Source organism: Homo sapiens, chromosome 12 (genome assembly GCF_000001405.40).
Source record: "Homo sapiens chromosome 12, GRCh38.p14 Primary Assembly".
Lineage (NCBI taxonomy): Eukaryota > Metazoa > Chordata > Mammalia > Primates > Hominidae > Homo > Homo sapiens.
Window position 1 is genome coordinate 40115545 of NC_000012.12, and position 22653 is coordinate 40138197.

At 35.8% G+C, this 22653-nt stretch overlaps 1 annotated feature.

Moving 5' to 3' along the window:
• Window positions 2397–2456: an enhancer, noted in NCBI's record as "active region_6206". NCBI's record gives its function as "activates an Ori minimal core promoter by ATAC-STARR-seq in GM12878 lymphoblastoid cells {active_cell/tissue: GM12878}" and the evidence as "EXISTENCE:reporter gene assay evidence [ECO:0000049][PMID:35858748]".

Consider the following 22653-nt stretch of genomic DNA (forward strand, 5'->3'; position numbering starts at 1 on the left):
ACAGAGGGACATACAGCCTGAAGAGGTAGCAGCAGCAGTTGTAGTGGGGATGTACCCATGTCCACATTTTAGCTGTGGTATGTTTTCCCAGTGGTAGCAGCAGCAGAAGGGTCTCTACTGCAGCAGCAATGGGAGAGTTAAGATGTACTTGAAAACAGCCTCCAAGTCCGAATCTCTGGCCCTTGCAAAAGTTCTAAGATTTCATATGTAAATTATATAGTATACATTTTATATAATTTATATTCTATAAATATAATGTATTGTGTGTGTGTATATTCATTACGAAGTGTATGACAGCCATAGTACAAGTGCCAGGAGGGCAGAAATGAAAATATACACTTGCAGTTTTCTCATACTACATGTGAAGTGTGGTATGATATCAGTAAATGAAAGATGTATATTTTAATACCTTAAAAAAGCATCAAAATAATGTAAAAGAAGCCAACAAGAAGTAAATGAAAGAAAAAGCAAACTTTTAAAGGCAGAAAAAGAAAATAAAGAGGAAAAGGGGAGTGAAGAACAGCCCAACCATATCAATAATCACATTGAAGATAAGTAGTCTAAGCACACCAATTAAAAGACAAAGATGATAAAATTGAATAGTTAAGTTGCAAAACTCAACTATATCCTGCCTATAAGAAACAAACCTTAAATATAATTAATATATTAAATATTATATATATTTATTTATCAGAGATTGAATATAAAAGTATATACAAAGATACACCATGCTAACACTATTTAAAAAAAAAAAAGAAAAGAAAAGGTAACCCAGGCATGGTGGCTCATGCCTATAAACCCACCTTGGGAGTCCCAGGCATAAGAATTGCTTGAGGCCAGGAGTTTGAGGCCAGCCTGGGCAACATAGCAAGACCTTGTGGCTACAAAAAAAATTTTTTTTAATCTTCTGGGCGTGGTGGCACACACCTGTAGTCCAAGCTACACAGGAGGCTGAGGCAGTGGTTTCCCTTGAGCCCAGTAGTTTAAGGTCACAGTGAGCTATGACCATGCCACAGCACTTCAGCCTGGCAACAGAGTGAGACCTCGTATCAGGCCATTCTTGCATTGCCAGGTAATTTTTAAAGGAAAGAGGTTTAATTGGCTTATTGTTCTGCAGGCTATACAGAAAACATAGCAGCATCTGCTCTTAGTGAGGCCTCAGGAAGCTTACAGTCATGGCAGAAGGCAAAGGGGGAGCAGGCACATCACATGGTGAAAGCAGCAGCAAGAAAAAGTGAATTGTCACACACTTTTAAACAGCCAGATCTCATGAGAAGTCACTCAGTATTGCAAGGACAACATCAAAGGGATGGTGCTAAACCATTCATGAGAAATTCACTCTCATGATCCAGTCACCTTCCACAGGCCCCACCTCCAATACTGGAGAGTATAATTCAATATGAGATTAGGATGGGAACATATATCCAAACTACATCAGATCGTGTCTCAAAAAAATAAAAAAGAAAAAAGGAAAAGAAAGAAAGCTAGAATGGTTATATTAATTCAGATAAATACAATTTCTGAACAAACAATATTACCAGGGCCATTTCTTAATGATAAAGGGGGTCATTCCGACAAGAGGACATAAATCTAAAAGTTAAACATCTAAAAACAGAGCTTCAGCCTGGGCAACATGGCAAGACCTCATCTCTACAAAAAAATACAAAAAATTAGCTAAGTGTGGTGGCATGCACCTGAAGTCCCAGCTACTTGAGAGGCTGAGGTGGGGGGATCACTTGAGCCTGGGGAGGTCAAGGCTGCAGTGAGCCATGATCGTGCCACTGCACTCTAACCTGGGCAGCAGAGTGAGATCCTGACTCAAAAATAATAAAGTAAAATAATCTAAATATAAATAAACAGAGCTTCCAAATGCATGATAGTGATGAAATAAAAATAGAAAAAAATCACAGAGTCAGAGATTTTAATACTTTCTCAATAATTGATAGAACTAGTACACAAAAAATAGTATGTAATAAGGATATAAAATATTTGAATAACACTATCAACCAACTTAACCTAATTGACACTCCATCCAACAGTGGCAGATACACATTTCTTTCAAGTACACACAGAACATTTACCCAAGTTAGAGCATATCTTGGACTTTACAACTAATCTTAGTAAATTTACGATTTAAGACATTCAAAGTATATTCTCTGACTATAGTAGAATTCAATTCAAACCAACAGCTCCCAAATATTTAGAAACTAAATAGCACACTTCTAAATTAACCATGAGCTAAGGAAAGAGCTAAAGGAGTGATTAGAAAGTATTTCTGAACTGAATGAAAAGGAAAACATGATAGATCAATATTTGTACGATCTACTAAAGCAGAGCTAAGGGGAAGCTACAAGCTAAATATCTGTAACAGAAGCAAAAAAGCACCTCAAGTCAGTGACCTCAACTTCACTCTTAAAAAACAAAAAAAGGAAGAGAAAATGAAATTTTAAGATGAGAAGTCAAAGAGGGAATCAGTGAAATGGAAGACAGAGACAATAGTTTTAGTTTCAGTCATCGAAACTAAAAGCTGGTTGTTGAAAAAATGAGTAAAATTGATAATCCTCTCACAAGACTCATAAGGAAAAAACGACAGAAGCCACAAATTATCAGTATCAGGAATGAGAGATGTTACATTATTGTAGATTCCACAAGTATTAAAAGGATCATAAGGTAATATTATAAATATTTCATACTGGAAAAATTTATGAAATAGACGTACTCCTTGAAATAGACAAATTACCAAAGCTCACTCAAAAAGAAAGAGATTATTTGAATAGCTTTATATCTATTAAGAAACTATTTGTAGTTTAAAACTTTCCCATGAGGCAAATTGCAAGCCCAGTCAACTTCACTGGCAAAGTCTACCAAACATTTAAGGAAGAAATAATGTAATTCTATACCCATTCTTTCAGAAAATTGAAGAGTATGGAATACTTCCCAACACATTCTGAGATCAGCATTACCCTGATTCCAAAACCAGACAATTACTAGAGAGCTACAAAACATTTTCCTTATGCACATAGATACAAAGATTCTAAACAAAATGTTAGCAAATGAAATCCAACAATATATTCAATATATTAAAAGAAGGATAATACATCATTTGCTGTTCCTTTTCTTGTTTCCTAAGGTTGGAGCTGAGGTCATTCAACACAGTGAAAGAACATTACGTGGGAAAAGGACAATCTTTTCAATAAATGATGCTGGAACATTTGGATATCCACAGGCAGAAAAATGAAATTCAATCCATAGCTTAAGTCATGTACAAAAATTAATTCAAAATGGATGATAGAATGGAAGGTAGGAAACTAAAGCTGAAAATCTTCTAGAAGAAAACCTAGGAGAAAATCTTTGCTACCTTGCATTAGGCAACGACGTCTTAAATATATAAGGCGTGGTGGCTCATGCCTGCCTGTAATCCTATCACTTTGGGAGGCCAAGGCAGGTGGATCTCTTGAGGCAGAGAGTTCGAGACCAGCTTGGCCAACAGGGCAAAACTCAGTCTCTACTAAAAAAAAAAAAAAAAATAGCCGGGCAGGGTGGCGCACATCTGTAATGCCAGCTACTAGGGAAGCTGAAGCATGAAAATTGCTTGAACCTGGGAGGTGGAGTTTGCAGTGAGTCCTGTTGCACCACTGCACTCCAGCCTGAGTGACAGAGTGACACTCTGTCTCAAAATTAATTAATTAATAAAATAAAATACCAAAAACACAATCCCTAAAGGAAAACACTGATAACTTAGATTTCACCAAAATTGGAAATTCCTCTACTTCAAAAGGTGCTTTATGTTTTAATTGTACTTGTTCACATGCAGTTGTCAGAAATAACACAGAACAATCCCATATATCCTTTACCCAGTAATCCCCAATGGCAACAGCTTGCAAAACTACAGTACAATATACAATATCACGACCAAGATATTCACAATGATACAGAGCATTTCTATCACCACAAGGATCTCTCATGCTGTCCTTTTATATCTACACTGACTTTCCTCCTGCCCTCACCTTCTCCTTAACCTCGGATATTAATAATCTGTTCTCCATTTCTATAGTTTTGTCACTTCAAGAATGTTATTTAAATGGAATCATACAGTATATATACAAACTCTTGGAAGTGACTTTTTTCACTCATCATAATTCTTTGGAGATTAATCTAGGTTGTTGCATGTATTGGTGTATATGTAGCTGTGTAGTATTTCATGGTGTGGGTATACAACAGTTGGTTTAACCATTCACCCATTTGAAGACCTGGGTTATTTCCTGCATTTGGCTGTTATTTATAAAACAGCTATAAATATTTGTATACAAGTTTTTGTGTGAATATAAGTTTTTCATTTATTTGACATAAATACCCAAGGATGTAATTGATGGATTATTTGGTTGGTAAGTATCATGTTTACTTTTTTCAAAAAGTACCAAAATGCCTTCCAGAGTGGTTGTACCATTTTACATTCCTTCATTCTCTAGATCCAGATCCTCCAGATCCTCATCAACATTTGGTGTTGTCTGTTTCTTTTAGCCATTTATATAGGTGTGCAGTGTTATCTCATTATGGTATCAATTTGCGTTTTTTAAAGGCTAATCATGGTCACCCTGTTTTAATGTCCCTATTTGCCATCTGTGTATCTTCTTCAGTGAAGTATCTCTTCATGCCCTTTGCCCATTTTCTTATTGGATTGTTTATTTTTTCACTCCCGATATTCGAGAATTCTTTATATATTTTAGATACTAATCTTTAGTTGGATATGTGGCGAACAAATATTTTCTCCCAATCATCTATAGCTTTCTTTTCATCTCTTAACAGAGAGTTAATAGCTCTTAATTTTGACAAAGCCTATAGTATCATTTTGTTTCTTGTATAGATTATATATTTGGTTTTAAATCTAAGAACTCTGCCTAACCCGAGGTTCCAGAGATTTTCTCCTATTTTTTTTTCTAAAAGTGCTATAGTTTTATGTATTACATTTAATCTCTTGACCCATTTTGAATTAATTTTTGTATAAGGCATGTGACTTAGGTCAATGGTCTTTTTTTTTTTTTTTTTTTTTTTTTTTTTTGCCTATGTATCTCCACTGGCTTCAGCACCAGCTTTGTGGAAAAGGCTATGTTCTCTCCTATTGGACTACATTTGCATTTTTGTCAAAAATTAGCTAGGCCTGCTTATGGGTTTATTTTGGAGTTCTCTATTTTGCTCCATTGACTTATATGTCTAATTTTCTCCCAATACCACACAATCTTCATTAATGTAACCACCTAGTAAGTCTTGAAACTGAGTAAACTGATTCTTCCCCCATTCATTCTTCTGTTTTGAAATTGTTTCCACTATTCTAGTTCCTTTGCATTTCCATATACATTTTAGAACAATCTTATATGTATCTCCAAAAATTCTTACTGGGATTAATGATAGAAATGTGTTAAACCTGTATTTCAATTTGGGGAGAATTGATATCTTTACTATATTGAGTATGTTGAGTCTTCAAATCCATGAACAGGGTTTGTCTTTACATTTATGTAGATATTCTTTGATTTATCTCATCAGTATTTTGGAGTTTGGGGTATACAAGTCCGATACATGTTACCTTAGATTAACATCTAAGTAGTTCACTTTTTTAGTGATCATAAGTGGCATGTGTTTTTAATTTTAGCATCCACATTTTCATGGAAAGTATAGGGAAATATAATGAATTTTTGCATGTTAATCTTTTGTAAGGAGACCTTATTAGTTCTAGATGTTCTTTTGTCAAAAGGCACTTCTTAAGGAATGAAAAGACAAGTCACAGACTGGTGAAATATTTGCAAATCATGTATGGGATAGAGGACTCATTTCCAAAATACATAAAAAGCTCTTGACACTCAATAATAAAATAGCAAGCAACTCAATTAAAAGATGGAAAATATATTTGAAAAAATACCCTGCCAAAGACAATTTAAGGATAGCAAATACATACATGAAATGATGCCTGAAATCTACTAGCTAGTAGGAAAATGTAAATTAAAACTATAATGAGGTATCACTATGCACCTAATTAAATGCCTAAACGTCAAACCTATTGACCATATCAAGTGTTTTGAGGATGTGGTGGGACTGGAACATTCATCTGCTGGTGGGATTGTAAAATGTCATGACCAGTAAAAAAAATACTCTGGCATTTTCTTTAAAAAGTTAAAAATATACATATTATATGATCCAATCATTTAACCTTAAGTATTTGCTAGAGAGATGAAAGCGTAAGTCCATCCAAAGTCTTGTTAATGTTCACAGAAGTTTACTTGTCGTAGACAAAAATCAAAACCTACCAGAATGTGCATCAACAGATAAAAAGACAAATAAGCAGTTATAGTATGTATCTATACACAAAAAACTAATCAGCAGTACAAAGTAATGACCTATTGATATAGGTCTATGTTATCACATAGACCTATATGTGGTTTATATTACCACATAGACGAATCTCAAAATAATTATGCTGAACTAAATAAGCCAGACAAACCAGTATATATTGTTATTCCATTTATTTAATTATTTTGAGGCAAGTTCTCCTCTGTCACCCAGGCTGGAGTGCAGTGGTGCAATCATGGTTCACTGAAGCCTCAACCTCCTCGGCTCCAGCAATCCTTCCACTCCAGCCTCCCAAGTATCTGGGACTACAGGCGTACATCACCACTCCCAGCTATTTAATTAATTATAGTAGAGATGAGGTACCACTATGTTGCCCAGGCTGGTCTCGAACTCCTAGACTCAAGTGATCCTCCCACCTGAGCCTTCCAAAGTACTGGGATTACAGGCATGAGCCACTGTGCTGTGTCTGTTATTCCATTCACATAAAGTTATATTAAATGTAAACTATTCTATAGTTAAAGCAGATATTGGTTGTCAGGGAATGGTATTGGTGGGAGGGGGAAGAACAATAGGAAGAGATTTCAAAGAGGTTTTGAGGAAATATTTGACCTAGATAGTTAATTTCGTTATCTTGATAGTAATGATGGTTTCACAGGTATGTACATATGTCAAAAGTGACCAAATTGTACACTTTAAATATGTGCAATTTCTTGTATGTCAATTATACTATAATAAAGCTGTTTTGTTGTTGTTGTTGTTGTTGTTGCTAATGTTTGTTTTGTTTTTGTTTTCGAGATGGAGTCTCTCTCTGTTGCCCAGGCTGGAGTACAGTGGCACAATCTCGGCTCACTGCAGACTCTGCCTCCTGAGTTCAAGCGATTCTCCTGCCTCAGCCTCCTGAGTCGCTGGGATTACAGGCGCCCACCACCACGCCAGGCTATTTTTTTGTATTTTTTAGTAGAGACGGGGTTTTGCCATGTTGGCCAGGCTGGTCTTCAACTCCTGATCTCAGATGACCTGCCTCAGTCTCCCAAAGTGCTGAAATTACAGGCATGAGCCACCACACCTGGCCCAATAAAGCTGTTTTTTAAAAGCTTAAATGCTTACATAAGCATTTTTTTTAAAAGGACTTTTTTTCCTATTTTATATGCTGACTTTCAATTTGTTTTGTTTGTTTGTTTGTTAAGCATGCAATATCTTTTGTCCATGAGAATGGGAAGGCTGGGTGAAAAATATAAAGATTTGTGTGTCTGATAACATAATGAAGTTGCCATATCAGCAATTTTCTGCCTATTTCTATATTCCTCATACATGAGAAAATTAAAAGCACTTTTTTTTTAAACAATAGATCTTTGGACTTTTTGTTACATGCAGTGTAACTCAAATTCTGACTGATTCAGAAGTTGTAACTGAACTGTTGAACTAAGCCACTGAAATATTTAAAATTGAATTATCATTATAGTATTAATAAGAGTTGTCTGTCCTAGGAAATAGGAAGTCTATGTTTTAAATATAAGACTCCTTCCAGATCAAAGGTAGCCAGAAAATGCATGTATACATCTTAAGTGTTTACAAACGACAAAACCAACCATGCAATATAAGCAGCTAGGCCAGGAGTGTGAGATGTCTATGGAGTTGGTAGAAGAATCAGATACTTTTAAGTTGAACCCAATGATGTGATTTATTTGGGCTATAAGTCACATTGATATATGATAGAAAACAAGTAATGCTAAACCTGTTCCATGAGCCCCTAATAAGAATCCAAAAGAGCCAAAAGCTCTGGTTGTGAAAGCTCAAGTGTTGGGAAAGAGATGCTGAAATTGTCTTAAGATGATGTAATTATTTCCTTACTAAGTAAGCATCCTCTAACTATTAGAATATTTAGAATTAAGTACAGAACTGTTAAAGAAAATCAGAATTATTATATTAATATTTCTATGTTATGGAATCTGAGCATATTTGGAATGTCCTTGAAATAAAAAAGAAAATCGGCTTTTTAGAGAAACATATAAAACATTTAATTCTAATTTAAAATGATTTATTTTGTTATTGATTTAGACTTTAAGTCAAGCCTTTATTAAGGGTATCTATTAAAATATTTAAGAGAACTTAGGAATCAAATTATTTAAAAGCTTATCATCTTTTAAGAACTAATTTTATATTCGAGAGGATTTTAAGGTATACAAGTGAAGTATTAAAGAAGGAAATTGAATATTTTGTAAGTATAGCTTAAAAATATTTTAACATATTGAATGGAACCTATCAAACATTATTCAGAAACTGCTAAAATTTTGGCTCTGCACAGTGGCTCACGCCTATAATCCCAGCACTTTGGGAAGCCCAGACAGGAGGATCACTAGAGGCCTGGAGTTTGAGATCACCCTGGTCAACATAATGAGACCCCATTTCTACAAAAAAATAAAATAAATTATCTGGTTGTCATGCGCATGCCTCTAGTTCCAGCTAGTCAGGAGACTGAGGCAGGAGGATCCCTTGAGCCCATGAGTTCAAGGCTGCAGTGAGCCATAATTGCATCACTGCACTCCAGTCTGGGAAACAGAACAAGACCCTGTCTCAAAAATTAAAATTGGCTGGGCACGGTGGCTCAAGCCTGTAATCCTAGCACTTTGGGAGGCCGAGGCTGGTGGATTGCCTGAGCTCAGGAGCTTGAGACCAGCCTGCGCAACATGGTGAAAACCCGTCTCTACTAAAATACAAAAAAAAAAAAAAATTAGCCGGGTGTGGCGGTGTGCACCTGTAGTCCCAGCTACTCGGTAGGCTGAGGCAGGAGAATTGCTTGAACCTGGAAGACTGAGGCTGCAATGAGCCAAGATCATGCCACTGCACTCCAGCCTGGCAACAGAGTGAGACTCCATCTCAAAAAAAAAAAAAATTTAATTAAAATTAAATAAACTGCTAAAATGCAAAGTAGAATATATTTGTCTGTTGAACATAAAACTTTAAAGAAGAGCCTTAATAAACTGAATTTCAAGTTTTAATATCATAGGAAATGATTCTTTTGTCATGAAAAACTGTTCTTAAAGGTATAAATATCTCACATATAATAAGACCTTCCTGTTTTCATTATGAACTTTGTGCCACATTTCTATTGTCTCTTAAATTCCTTTGTTTTTAACCTACAAATTATCCTGTCATTGAGTTTTCAAGAACATAATTCTCAAGGTTGAAGAAAACTGTATATGTATATGTGTGTTTCTTTTATTAGACTCTGAGTTTCATGAAAGCAGACATTACATTATATCATTATATTCCTCATTACCTTCTATGGACTTGGTTTAGTGCTTGGAATAAAGTATGTTCTCCATAGTTACTCGCTAGGAAGTAGCAGTTGAACAAATTTGCTTGCTTTTCTTAAATAGAAATGTTCTCCAGTCCTTGTACACAATTAATCCCAGCATGAGGACCATTGGTTCTTGTACACAATTCTCAGAGACTTTTGGCTATTTAGCCTCTGGGTCCACCACTGACTGTTGTCCTTGATTCCTAGCAGATATGCCAGGGGCTTTTGGTCATAGTGGCACCAGAATTTCACAAAGAGACTGGGGAAACATACTATGTTTGCAAAAGGCAGCCTTAGAAGAAATGTTTGTCTACCTACTCCGTTATAGTTTACATCATGTAATTTTCATGGTTTTGCTTATTAATAACTTGCTTATTAACTATTTGCTTATTAATCTATTAACTCATTCATTTAACCATTCTTTTTTATGTATTTATTTAAATAGATACAAGGTCTTGTTCTGTTGCCCAGGCTAGTGTGCAGTGGCACAATCGTAGCTCACTGCATCCTCTAACTCCTGGGCTCAAGTAATCCTCTTGCCTCAGTATCCCTAGTACTTGAGACTCCAGGCACATGCCACCACATCCAGCTATTTTTTTTAATTTTTTAATTTTATGAGACAGAGGTCTTGCTATGTTGACCAGGGTGGTCTCAAACTCCTAGCCTCAAGCCATCCTCCTGTCTGGGTCTCCCAAAGTGCTGGGATTACATGTATGAGCCACCATGCCCAACTTAACCATTCTTTATTTTGTACCTACTGCATGCCAAGTACGATAGTAGGTCTTGTGATCACAGCAGTGAGCAGGAGAGACACAGTCCCTTCCCGCATAGAGCTTTTCTTTTGGTTTGGAATTAATTTCTAGTCTTAAGAAATAAAATAGGCTGGGTGCGGTGGCTCATGCCTATAATACCAGCACTTTGGGAGGCCCAGACGGGAGGATCACTTGAGCACAGGGATTTGAGACCAGCCTGGGGAACATAGGGAGACCCCGTCTCAACAACGACAACAAAAATGTGAAAATTAGCTGTGACCAGAACACGAGGCACCCTGCTAGGGGAAGGAAGGTGATGGAGAGTGAGATGCTTTTGGAAAAATAGCAGGGGTGAGATCTCTAGAGTCTTATGAACTTTTAATAAGTTTTTTGTTGAACCTGTTTGATGTTTTCCTCTCTTCTCTTAATCTTTTGAACTCTAGAATATGATACTAAATCATTAATTTAGTCTTCAATATATTGCATCTCTGCTCTTGCTAGCACTTTTAATTGCTACAGTGTAATAATAATTATTATTCATTTTTTAATTTCAAAAACAACTCATGTAATTTCGATTTTTACTGTTAATTCTGCTATCACCAGCTTCTCTGGGAGCTTTCAAGGCCTGCTTCTAAAATAATTTATCTAATGAACATTCCACCCATAGGTAATTTTGCATACATATTCTTACATTTGTTCCTTTGTTCCACAAGTTCCCTAAGGCAAGTTTTTTTCTCATTCCTACAAACAGACCATTGTTTTCACCACTTACCTCTCATGCCAACTGTAGCCCACCATGCCATTATAGTTATGTATTTTTCAAGATTACTTTATAATTTTTTAAAATTCCACTATTTATTTCTGCTTCTGAATTTCCTCATGTAGTCTTTTCCTGTTACTCAAAGAAACATACCTTTGAGGGGACTTTGGAGATTCTTTGACCTTCCACCTTTATTTTACCAACAAACTCTTTTAATTTATGATCCCTTATGCAATGTTTAAAAGCCTAATATATAATGCTTCCATTTCTTAGTATCTTTTCATTTAAAATGGCCTAACTTTTCACAATACCTTGTAGTGGTCAGTTTGATGTTATAAATGTTCATGCAGTCTTTCTTAGCCAAAGTTGAAAATAAAATATTAGTTTTTTAAAAACCCTACAAACTAAGGGTTAATTATCTATAAACTCCTGGGTAAACAACTTTGTTATTTGCAGGTCTTTTATACCAAATATATATTCAAGTTCATAAAGTAATAAAAATGTTGCTAATAATATTGACTTCAGCTGGAAGTAAGCAAAGTGGTGAATAAAACAAAAGATGAGTACTTACATGGATTGATTAGATTAGATCCTCTTTTTATATTCTGCCATCCTTCGATAAGCTTCCTAAGAGATAAGTAAAAGGAAAGTAGCAAGACTTCCCAAGTTATTAGCTGGGAGCCCCTGGCAAATCTGATTTCAGATTTCAGATATCTATGTGTCTTCCTCTCTTCTTTCCCTTCATTTGCCAAGGCTGTTCTTTCTTGGTTAAGTCCTTGAATGACCCAACATTGCTTTCTAGTTTAAACATGTTTAAACATTTATTTTGCCTCTAGTCATCTAATCTGTTGCTAACAGGAAAAAAAGCCTAAGCAGAATTTCATAGAAATGACATTTTTCAGGTATTGGAAAGGAAAGTGCTGATCTATGCATGTTGCCATGGAGTTAGTGTCTGCTTACAATTGCATTCCTTCAATGGCAGGTAAAGAACAGTCCAATTACCAGGAAAAAGCAACACCTCATTTTGGCAAGATAATTTATTAGACTTTGAAATATGTCCATAAGTCAATTGTTTTCTTACTCTCCAACAGGCTTTTAAATACATCTGCCCAAAACAATATTACTAGCTATTTACAAAAGCAAAATCTTGTTGTTAAAATGCTACAGAGATTCTATAATAAAAATAGTGAATGTCTTTTTTTTTTTAAAGCATCTTGGGGAAGAAGAAACTCCATTTAAGAGAAAACTCTTTGTAAAAAGAAAATACTCCTGTATCTTTAAGAGTCCTATGAATAACAGTATTTATTTGATAAAGAAATGTCATCGCTGATCTTTTCTGTGGTTGCTCATCCTAAGGACTAGAATATGAGGCCGGATGTTTTTATTTCCTGTTATCTTACTCACTGCTGCTTTCCCATGTGGGATTTCTATTAACCTGAAAGGTAGCGCCAAAGCCAGAATAAATGTGTGTATAAGAACATAAGGAATGTCACAACAGCCGTGGAAAAATTGATAAAACATATATATACATACATTGCAGTCCTATCTTTTGCCTTCAACCTATGGCTTTTGTATGCATGGAAGAGAAAAGAGCATGTTGACTAGTGAATTGTAAATTACTTGTCACTATTAAAAAATACATATATATTTAAGATAATAGGGTAAAATTAAACACATAAAATCACAGCAGTGTCTATAAAATGAAAAGTACACACCTGCCTCTTTCTGCACCCCACCCCAACTCTACCAAGATGGTCCCCTGAAGCAACCAATGTCAATGATTTCTGTCTTTAGTTATATTGGTGGTTGCCAGAAAAGAGAGATAGATTTACCCTACAGCTAAGGATACTTTAGCTTCCTGGCCCTCCAAATGCATAGTTCCCTTCCAAAAGAAGGTAGAAGCTCAGTAGTGCATCCAAATTTTGTGGGTACCGAATTTACTCATCTGGGAGCACACCCTTTTAAGAAAAAGAACACAGAATTACAACTACACATTGTTAGGGCTCCTCCCAATGCTTTGCAAAGGGCCCCTGCAAGTCAAGATTCCTGAAACACATTTCGTTAGTTTCACAGTCAGTGATTGTCATTTTTAGATTTACCAACAGCATTAAACAGCATCTGTTGATTGTCTACTCAGAAACCAAGAGACATTTAGCAAGCCCTTCCTACCTCTCAATTCTCCTTTCCCATCTGCCTTCTACTTTTTGTTAGGTGTATTGAGTTATTATATTTATAGTTAAGGCTTACAGTCACTAAAATTATATTTGTATACATTGTAGATTCATTCTAAAAACTTTGAAAGGAAAATAAGTCTCAGTACCCCTAAATTGCTAAGTCAAAGGAAAAAGTCAAGCCGGGAACTGCATCGGGCAAACCTGCCTCCCATTTTTTTTCTAAATAAGACAGCTACAAAGATAAAAAAAAAAAAAGCTACATATCTACCTTATAATGTTCCAAAAAGGAAATTCCTGTGGGCCTCAAGATTTTTACCCTAAAACAGTTCTGTTCAATTTCACCCTGGCAATGTAAATTGATAGCTTATCTTTACAGGTGCGGGACAAAGGACAGAACTTAAAGTCATTCCTCTGCTCACCTGAGACAAATGCAGACCTGATGCTTCCTCTGCCCTATTGTTTACATAAAATTACAGATTCACTGAACCAAACTAAGGCATAAGTGACTATTCTACACTCACTCTCACACGTAAATTTGGTATTCAGTGAAAGGCTTATCGAAGACCCAAAAGAATACAACCTTTTGTCTCTTATCCACCTATGACATGGAAGCCCCACCTCCGCTTTGAGTTTTCTGGTCTTTCTGGTCTGAACCAATGTACATCTTATGCACGTTGATTGATGTCTCATGTCTCCATAAAATGTATAAAACCCAGCTGTACCCTGACCATCTTGGGCACATGTCATCAGGACCTCCTGGGGCTGTGTCATGAGCGTGTCCTTAACCTTGGCAAAATGAACTTTCTAAATTGATTGAAACTTGTCTCAGATACCTTTGGGTTCACAAAGCCAAGTATGTTTACACATATACAATAGTGTTTTGTATATGTGTTTTACACATATACAATAAGCACATATGCTATTGTATATGTGTAAACGTACATACTTTATATATACATACTATATATAAATATTTTCCATTGAATCAAGTAATGTGGTTGGATGAATAAAAATGTAAATGCAACCTTGTGTCTCTGAATTTTGCTACTCTAAAGAGAATTGTCCAAGCATCTTGAATTTATGATACTCTTAATTTTGTTTTAGACTTTCTTCCCCACTTCTTTTGGATCAGACATAACAGGCCTTGTTTCTTGTATCCTCTGTTTTTCTTTTTTAATTTCTTTATACATTTCCTGAATTAACTCCTCAAGTAATTTTTATTTAGTTTTGTAGGAGGTTAAGTTCATGAATGTCCTTCAAAATGGAATGACTTCATAGACAATTGCTAGTTTCAGAAAATGTTCTTTATGCAAAACTTTCAAAGGTATGTTTAACTTAGTTATCCCTATGTATTTTACCATAATAACAGGTCTTTAGGAAAAGTTTCAAGTAAAATTATGAGAGTTAAAGAAAGCATGGTTAGCATTGTGAGGTGATGTTTAATTTTTCCAAGGTAAATGAGACCATTCTGAATGGAGTCAACCCTTGTGTTTGTTAGAAGACATGCCTTAATGTGGATAAAAGCAAAAAGAAAATGGTAGACATTACATAATTTAACCAGAAGAGTTACTATTTTCTAAAAATCTAAGCATTTTTTTTCAAAGGGCTACCCTTTCTTTCTGCTTTCTCAGTATTCAAGTTGAGAAAAACCATGCCTTATAAATCACGAACAAATTCTCCTAATTCCTGTCTCAGAATGACTTCAGCGTACAGACTCTCCTTCAACAATTTGATATAAATAATCACCCTTTTGCATTGAACATTTTGTGAAATAAATTGTTTATACTCTGCAAGCTGAGGAAAATAGGCCACTCAACTAAAATGTTTAAAACTCTTCAAAACTATTACATTCATGGCATCTAATAAGAGATTATTATTTTCTTCATGGCAAGTTTCTTAATATTTTTTATAACCATTAGTGGCGGTGACAGAAGAGAATACTATTCTATGTAACTTTTTTATATTTGTGCAAAAAAAATGTGATCATGATGTATTATGTTTACATAAACTGACGTGACCAACATGAATGGTTTTTGTGTACTTACTATTAGTCTGAAGAGCTGTCCAGTGGAAAGCAATGTCTTTGCAACAGTATGAGTATACTGAAGCAGGGAATAAGGAGAAGACTTTGGATTTCTGCTTTGGTACTCCCTGATCTTTATGTTCATTTCCTTTCCCCTCCTTACCCATATTATACCCCTTGCCATCTTTTCTATCTTAATATGTTTCTAAAGTCTATCCATCAGTTTAACACTTAGCCCTATGCTGGGTCATGTCAGAGAACCCCAAAGAATAATAATAGAAATGCCCGAGTAGTTTCCACTCAGACTCGGATGGCAACATTCCTGGGTAGAATTAGAGAACATTGACGCTGGACTGTACGGTGTGGATTGTCAATATAATAGAGGTTTGGAGAAAGAAGTGATCTTTGTGGGTTGTAATTATGTATTGTTTGAGATTCTTTGATTGCTAGCAACAGAAACTGATGGTCTAATGTACGAAAAAAAAGTTCATTGGAAGGAGATCGTGGCTGCCTGAACTGCTTGATTGTATTGTAAGAATGCTGGCCCTGGAATAATTATGCTCTACCTGTTTTTCCATCCTTGTGTCACTTTACTCACATATCAAAATCCCAGGAGAGCATGTGATCATTTTGATTTAACTCAAATAACAACTCTTTGGCTAGGGTAGATGAAGGTACCTTGATTTACAACCTACAAAAATTAGGTATGTATTCTATTTCTGCCTATGATAGAATAGGCAATGATGGAATTGTATATAAGCTGGCAATTTGAAAGCACCAGCCTGTAAATTTCTTGTCTATTCTTAATTACACCTTTGTTCTTGGTTTGGAATCACAACATGACAATCCAAAGAATCCAAACCTAAAGAGACTTCCTACAAATATTTATAATTGTAAATTGAACAATACCTTTTTACTATTCCAGATGATGGTTCTGAAGGCAACAGGTTTGAGTTGAAATTCTGACTTAGGTGTTTAGTAACTGTTTAACCCTGGGGAAACTACTTCCCACACCTCCACAGTTATTTACCTCACAAGATTATTTTAGGGATTAAGACCAATTCATATAAGAGCCTATCACAGATATGCACAAATAAATGGAGGCATTATTGAGTAAACAAATGCATCTGGATTAAGTATAACTGGTGAAGTAGATAAGAGCCCAATCTTCTGTTGAAAAAGCTTTGTCCTGTTCACATTTGCTAACAATTATTAGTTTAACACATTTCCTTCAAATTCTTATTGAGTGAGAAAAAAGTATAAATTATTTTAAATAGAAAAAAACTAACACAGATATTAGAGTTTTTGAAAATGATTTACGAGAAGAAGATCTCATCTAACACTTGTGCTTTGAGACCTGTTCACCCACCTGGTTTTTTTTTTGTTTGTTTGTTTTCTATGTAATTATAGGTGATTGATAGTTTGAGGTCAAGTTTATAAAAGTATAAAGTGTCACCTGCTGCTGCTAATAAGACCTTGTGTGACCTGTTCTATTACCAACATTATAATTGTTCTACTTAATTCAGTACTACATTCTGAGTATCTTTTTTTTTTTTTTTTTTTTTTGAGACAGAGTCTCGCTCTGTCACCCAGGCTGGAGTGCAGTGGCACAATCTCGGCTCACTGCAAGCTCCGCCTCCCAGGTTCATGCCATTCTCCTGCCTCAGCCTCCCAAGTAGCTGGGACTACAGGTGCCCGCCACCACGCCTGGCTAATTTTTTGTGTTTTTAGTAGAGACGCAGTTTCACTGTGTTAGCCAGGATGGTCTCGATCGCCTGACCTCGTGATCCGCCCTCCTCGGCCTCCCAAAGTGCTGGGATTACAGACGTGAGCCACGGCGCCCGGCCTACATTCTGAGCATCTTATTGGTTATCTGTACATTGTCACATTTGAACACTTACAATCCTGAAATCAAACAGTAGGCAAAGAACAGTTGTACTGGTAATGGTAATTATTCTTGATTTTTATCTTTAGGACCTAGGGTTATCGGTACAAAATAATGACAGGGAGATGTATATCTAGGACCTATAGGATGTCTAGGAGCTGTTCACTGGTTGTGTCTTGGTGCCACAGGCCCAGTGATAATTGTGAATGGAAAATTGTAGCAACCACAGTTTGCCAAACACAAAGAAATCAGGGGTATAAACCCCTTGGGGAAGAAAGTCTGGGTCATTCCAGAAAGCAAACAACATAGACCAACCAAGGAGCAGGCCTAGGGTCAGAGAATTCTAAAATTGTTAGTGCAGGAAGGAGATAAATTATGTCAATTAAGGCTTTGGAATCTGGTGTTGCACTGGGGACTGCAGCTTGTTTCACTAACTTTCCTGCATTCAGTCTTTACAGAGATTCCAGCTGGCCACCATATTGAAGGGGATTCTGTAACTGACTGGATTTAACGCAAAGCAAAAAGAGACATGACTGGTAGGCACAAAGAATGGATTGTATTGAAACAATTCCTGTGTGCCACTTCTAATCCTCTTATTCTGGCCTTAGTTGTGGAGACTAATTCCCACGTAGGATTCAACCAGATTCACTGAGGTGCAACCTGGCAGCACATTGCCTTAGGCAGACGTTGGGTACCTCTTACTTTCTGGTAGGGGTATGCCTGCTCATTAGATATTCACAGGAACTCTTAGCATTTGTGCTTGTGTAGAGATGGTAATGCCCCGTGACATAGCTCTTGACTAATGGGGAAGAGACTTGATTGACAAATGCTTTCCCTTTTCTTTCCCCAGTGGATGATTCTGAGAAGCATTTCACTAGGCTTTCAGATGTTCTTTCAAGATTGATCTCCCTGTCATACAAAAGTGGTAGCCAAATCAATATGCATTCCTCTGTTACTTTTCTCTTCTTCCCATTCTCCTTCTGATTCCTAGAACCACAGTCCCAAATAAATCACTCTCAAATAAAAATTTCCCTCAGTTGGTGCTTTTGTAAAATGAGAATATTATTTGCATTCATTTAAACCCGATTAGAGGCCAGGAGTGGTGGCTCACCCATGTAATCCCAGCACTTTGGGAGGCTGAGGGACACGGATCACTTGAGGTCAGGAGTTCAAGACCAGACTGGCCAACATGGTGAAACCCTGTCTCTACTAAAAGTACAAAAATTACCTGAGAGTGGTGGCAGGTGCCTGTAATCCCAGCTGCTGAGGAGACTGAGGCAGGAGAATCACTTGAACCCGGGAGATGGAGGTTGCAGTGAGCCGAGATCACACCACTGCACTCTAGCATGGGTGACAGAGTGAGACTCCATCTCAAAAAAAATATTAATAATAAACAAATAAAAATAAACCCTATTGGAAACACTGTGATTCAAGATTTGCTGTATTTATTTATCTTTTACTTGCTTTTAAACTACGCAAATAAAATAAATGTATTTGAAATATTTAAAAGCAAATATCTGACATTACCATTTTATCTATAAATATATCAATATATCTTTAATATATAAGGACTTTAAAAATATAACTACAATTCCATTATCATGTCCCCAAAATTAACAATATTTTCTTATTATCTAATGCCTAATATGTATTTAGTTTTTTTCCCTGATTGTCTTTTTATAGCTAGTTTGTTGGGATCAGGAATGTAACAAGGTTGTACATTGTATTTGGTACATTTGTCTGTTATAGTTCTCCCAATCTATAGCAGTTCTTTCTTTCTCTCTCGTATTTATTTTTCATACCTTAGTGTTCTTTTCACCTTTACTTTTTAAATATATTATTTTAAAATTCATGGTTTGTATGCACATTTGTATATCTCAACTCATTACAGAATGAGCTATGATATTAACAAAATCGTCTTTCTTTCTTTTGCCATTTATTTATTGATGAAATTGGGTTATTTGTCCTGTTGAATTTTCCACATTCTGAGTTTGGCTGATTGTTTCCTTAAGGTTCACTTCAATTATTAAATTGAAAATATATAAATATTAAATTGAAAATATATAAGCACCATTCTCTCAAAAGTTTGCCCTGCAAAATGTGTGTTGCTAATTACTCAGAATGGTTTCTGTCTTTGCTTCCTTAATATTGACTTTCTGATTTCCAACAGGAGGGCTTTGCATTCTTGAATGTGCTGAGGCAAAGGAAAGCCCATTTCCTGTTCACTTGTTGGAGAAAAGAGTGACATTTATTGGATGTATGCTAAAAATGGACTTCTGCATTGAGATTTATCTATCTGATATCATACGTCATTCCAATAACAATTTGAGGTGTTATAAAAATGTGCACACAAAAACATTTTAAATAATACATTAAGGTACTGGGCAAAAAGAACACTAAGGTAGGAAAAATAAATATAAAACTTCAGCTGTCACTCCAAACAGAATGATAGACTCCAAGAGGCTTCATATAAAACACTCTTGGTCATTCTAGGTGACTGTAACATTTCAGTGGAAGCATGGTCAGTTCTTTACCACATCCCATGGCTTGTAACAGTGCCTGGCCCATAGGAGGAGTAAATCACTAGTTGTTAACTACCATTTAACTGCAATCACACCTCTCCATTTGTGACCGGATTGATTCCTAATAATTATGACTGAAGCTACATGAACTGTACAGACAATTTAAAACATAAATTCTATTATGTATGTATTCTTTGTGTAAGTCCCTCTGGGAATTAAATATTAAGACATTGATTGTAGATAGCATATAGGAATAAGTTCAGCAGGTTTCAAAGGTTTAGGTTGAAGAGGAAGACAGGAGAAAAAGTGAAACACAATCTTTTCATCTAGAAATAACAATTATTACTTTCCTTCAACGAAATAAAAAATAATATTTATAAGAGCACTGCAATAGCACAAGAATGAGGAGCAACTTCAAAATGAAGTGGTGACATGATATTTCACCTTAGTAACTGGGAAAAATATGATAAACAAAGAACACTGAATTCTTCAGATTATATTCATAGAAGTAATTTGGAGCTGAACATCAATCCATAGAGGTGATTAGAATACTTTGGATTAGAACTACATATTTTCTAGGCCAGGTGTGTTGGCTCATGCCTATAATACCAGCACTTTGGGAGGCCAAGGCAGGTGGATCCCTTGAGTTTAGGAGTTTGAGACCTGGGCCTGGCAACATAGCAAAGTCCCACCTCTACAAAAAAAATACAAAAAATTATTCGGGCCTAGTAGTGTGGGCCTGTAGTCCCAGCTACTTGGTAGGCTGAGTTGGGAGGATCACTTGAGCCTGGTAGATGGAGGTTGCAGTGAGCCGAGATCGTGCCACTGTACTCCAGCCTGGGTGACAGAGTGATACCCTGTCTCAAACAAACAAACAAACAAACACCTGCCGCCCCACCCCACAAAACTAATTATTTCATTGAGTGATTCCTGTCTACTTTATAGAAAACAAAACAAATGACTGAGACCAGCCTGGGCAATATAATAAGACTCTGTCTCTGGGGGGAAAAAAAAGAAAGGAAGAAAGAGAAAAAAGAAAAAAGATGAAGAAAACAAATAACTTAAAGTTCACTTAAAAGTATTATAAAGCACATGACAGACCTTTTTTATTATTTTTATTTTTTGTGGGTACAGAGAAGGTTTATGTATTTATGGGATACATGAGATGTTTTGATACAGGCGTGCAATGTGAAATAAGCACATCATGAAGAATGGAGTATCCATCCCCTCAAGCATTTATCCTTTTAGTTAAAAACAATCCAATTACAGTCTTTAAGTTTTTTAAAAGTGTAAAATTACGTTACTATTGACTATAGTCACCTTATTGTGCTACCAAATAGTAGGTCTTATTCATTATTTATATATTTTTTGTACTCATTAACTTTCCCTACCTTTCCCCCCCACTGCCCCACCCCCACTACCCTTCCCATATTCTGGTAACCACCCTTATGCCCATGAGTTCATTTGCTTTGATTTTTGGATCCCACAAATAAGTGAGAACATGCAATGTTTGTCTTTCTGTGCCTGGCTTATTTTGCTTCACATAATGATCTCCAGTTCCATTCATGTTGCAAATGACTGGACCTCATTCTTTTTTTTGGCTGAGTAGTGCTCCATTGTGTATATGTACCATATTTTCTTTACCCATTGATCTGTTGATGGACACTTAGCTATTGTAAACAGTACTGCAACAAACATAGGTGTGCAGATATCTCTTCAGTATACTGATTTTCTTTCTTTTGGGTATATACCCAGCAGTGGGATTACTGGACTGACAGACCATTTTAAAAATTCAAAACAAAGTTGAAACATAATTGAGATATTTTTACAAAATTGAGCCAAAATAGAATTTTAATTTTTAGATACAGTAAAATGAATCTATAACTTGGTTTCTTTTAAAAATCATCAAATATTCAGGAATATTAACTAAAATTGACATATCAACAAATGTTTCAAAGGAGAGAATTAACTTGAAAGTGCTTTTAAATGTAAATTGCTATATAAATAGAAAATATAAAAGATAGTTTTACTCAGTTCTTTGTACCAAGCATCATCAGGCACTGAGGGCAAGTCACAAATAAGCAAGGAAATAAACGAACCACAGCCTGTTGTTTCTTTTTAAAGGATGCTGACAGTCACTTCCTGTCTGAGAGCGTGTCATCTTTTGCTTCCCTATTTGAATCAGGATATTCTCGTGACTAGACATGTTTATATTCATGCCCACACAAATGTCTACCAACTGAATGTGTAAGTCAAGATCAAAAAAATTTTCACTAGAGTATACATATATATGTAATACATTACATAAATGAGGAAAAATAAAACTATATGAAAATCTAATGAGATGGTTTCTGTAGTGCACTAAACCCTCTTGTCTAAGAATTAACCAAAATGAAACATAAACATTTAGTAGACTGGATTTATAGAGGAGCATTTTGAATAGTGGGACAATAATTCTGGATTCTCATGTTATAGTATGGTTGGCTATATATTTAAATCTAAACATTTTAGTTGATTAAATTCATTCAGCTATTCATCCATTCAACAAACTTTTATTGCTTGCTACTGCAGCCAATACTGTGTTTGGTTCTAGTACCTCAGAGGAAAGTAAGACATCCCTTTCTCTCAAAAGTCAACAATCTAGTAGAGGAAATAAAAGTAAATCTAGGATTGTGAGGTACTCTGATGGGAAGAGGTGTGTAGAGACAGCTTTAGGTGAACAAACAGGGGATGCCTAAATTGGCCTAGGGCTATGGCTGGAGAGGTGAGGTGGGGTAAGATCAAAGAACACTTTATGGGGGAAGTGATGTTTCAGCTTACTTTTAATGGAAGAAGAGACAATGTGAAGCGTGTTATAAGAAAAAGAAAACTGCTTTATCCATGGGAGAATTCAG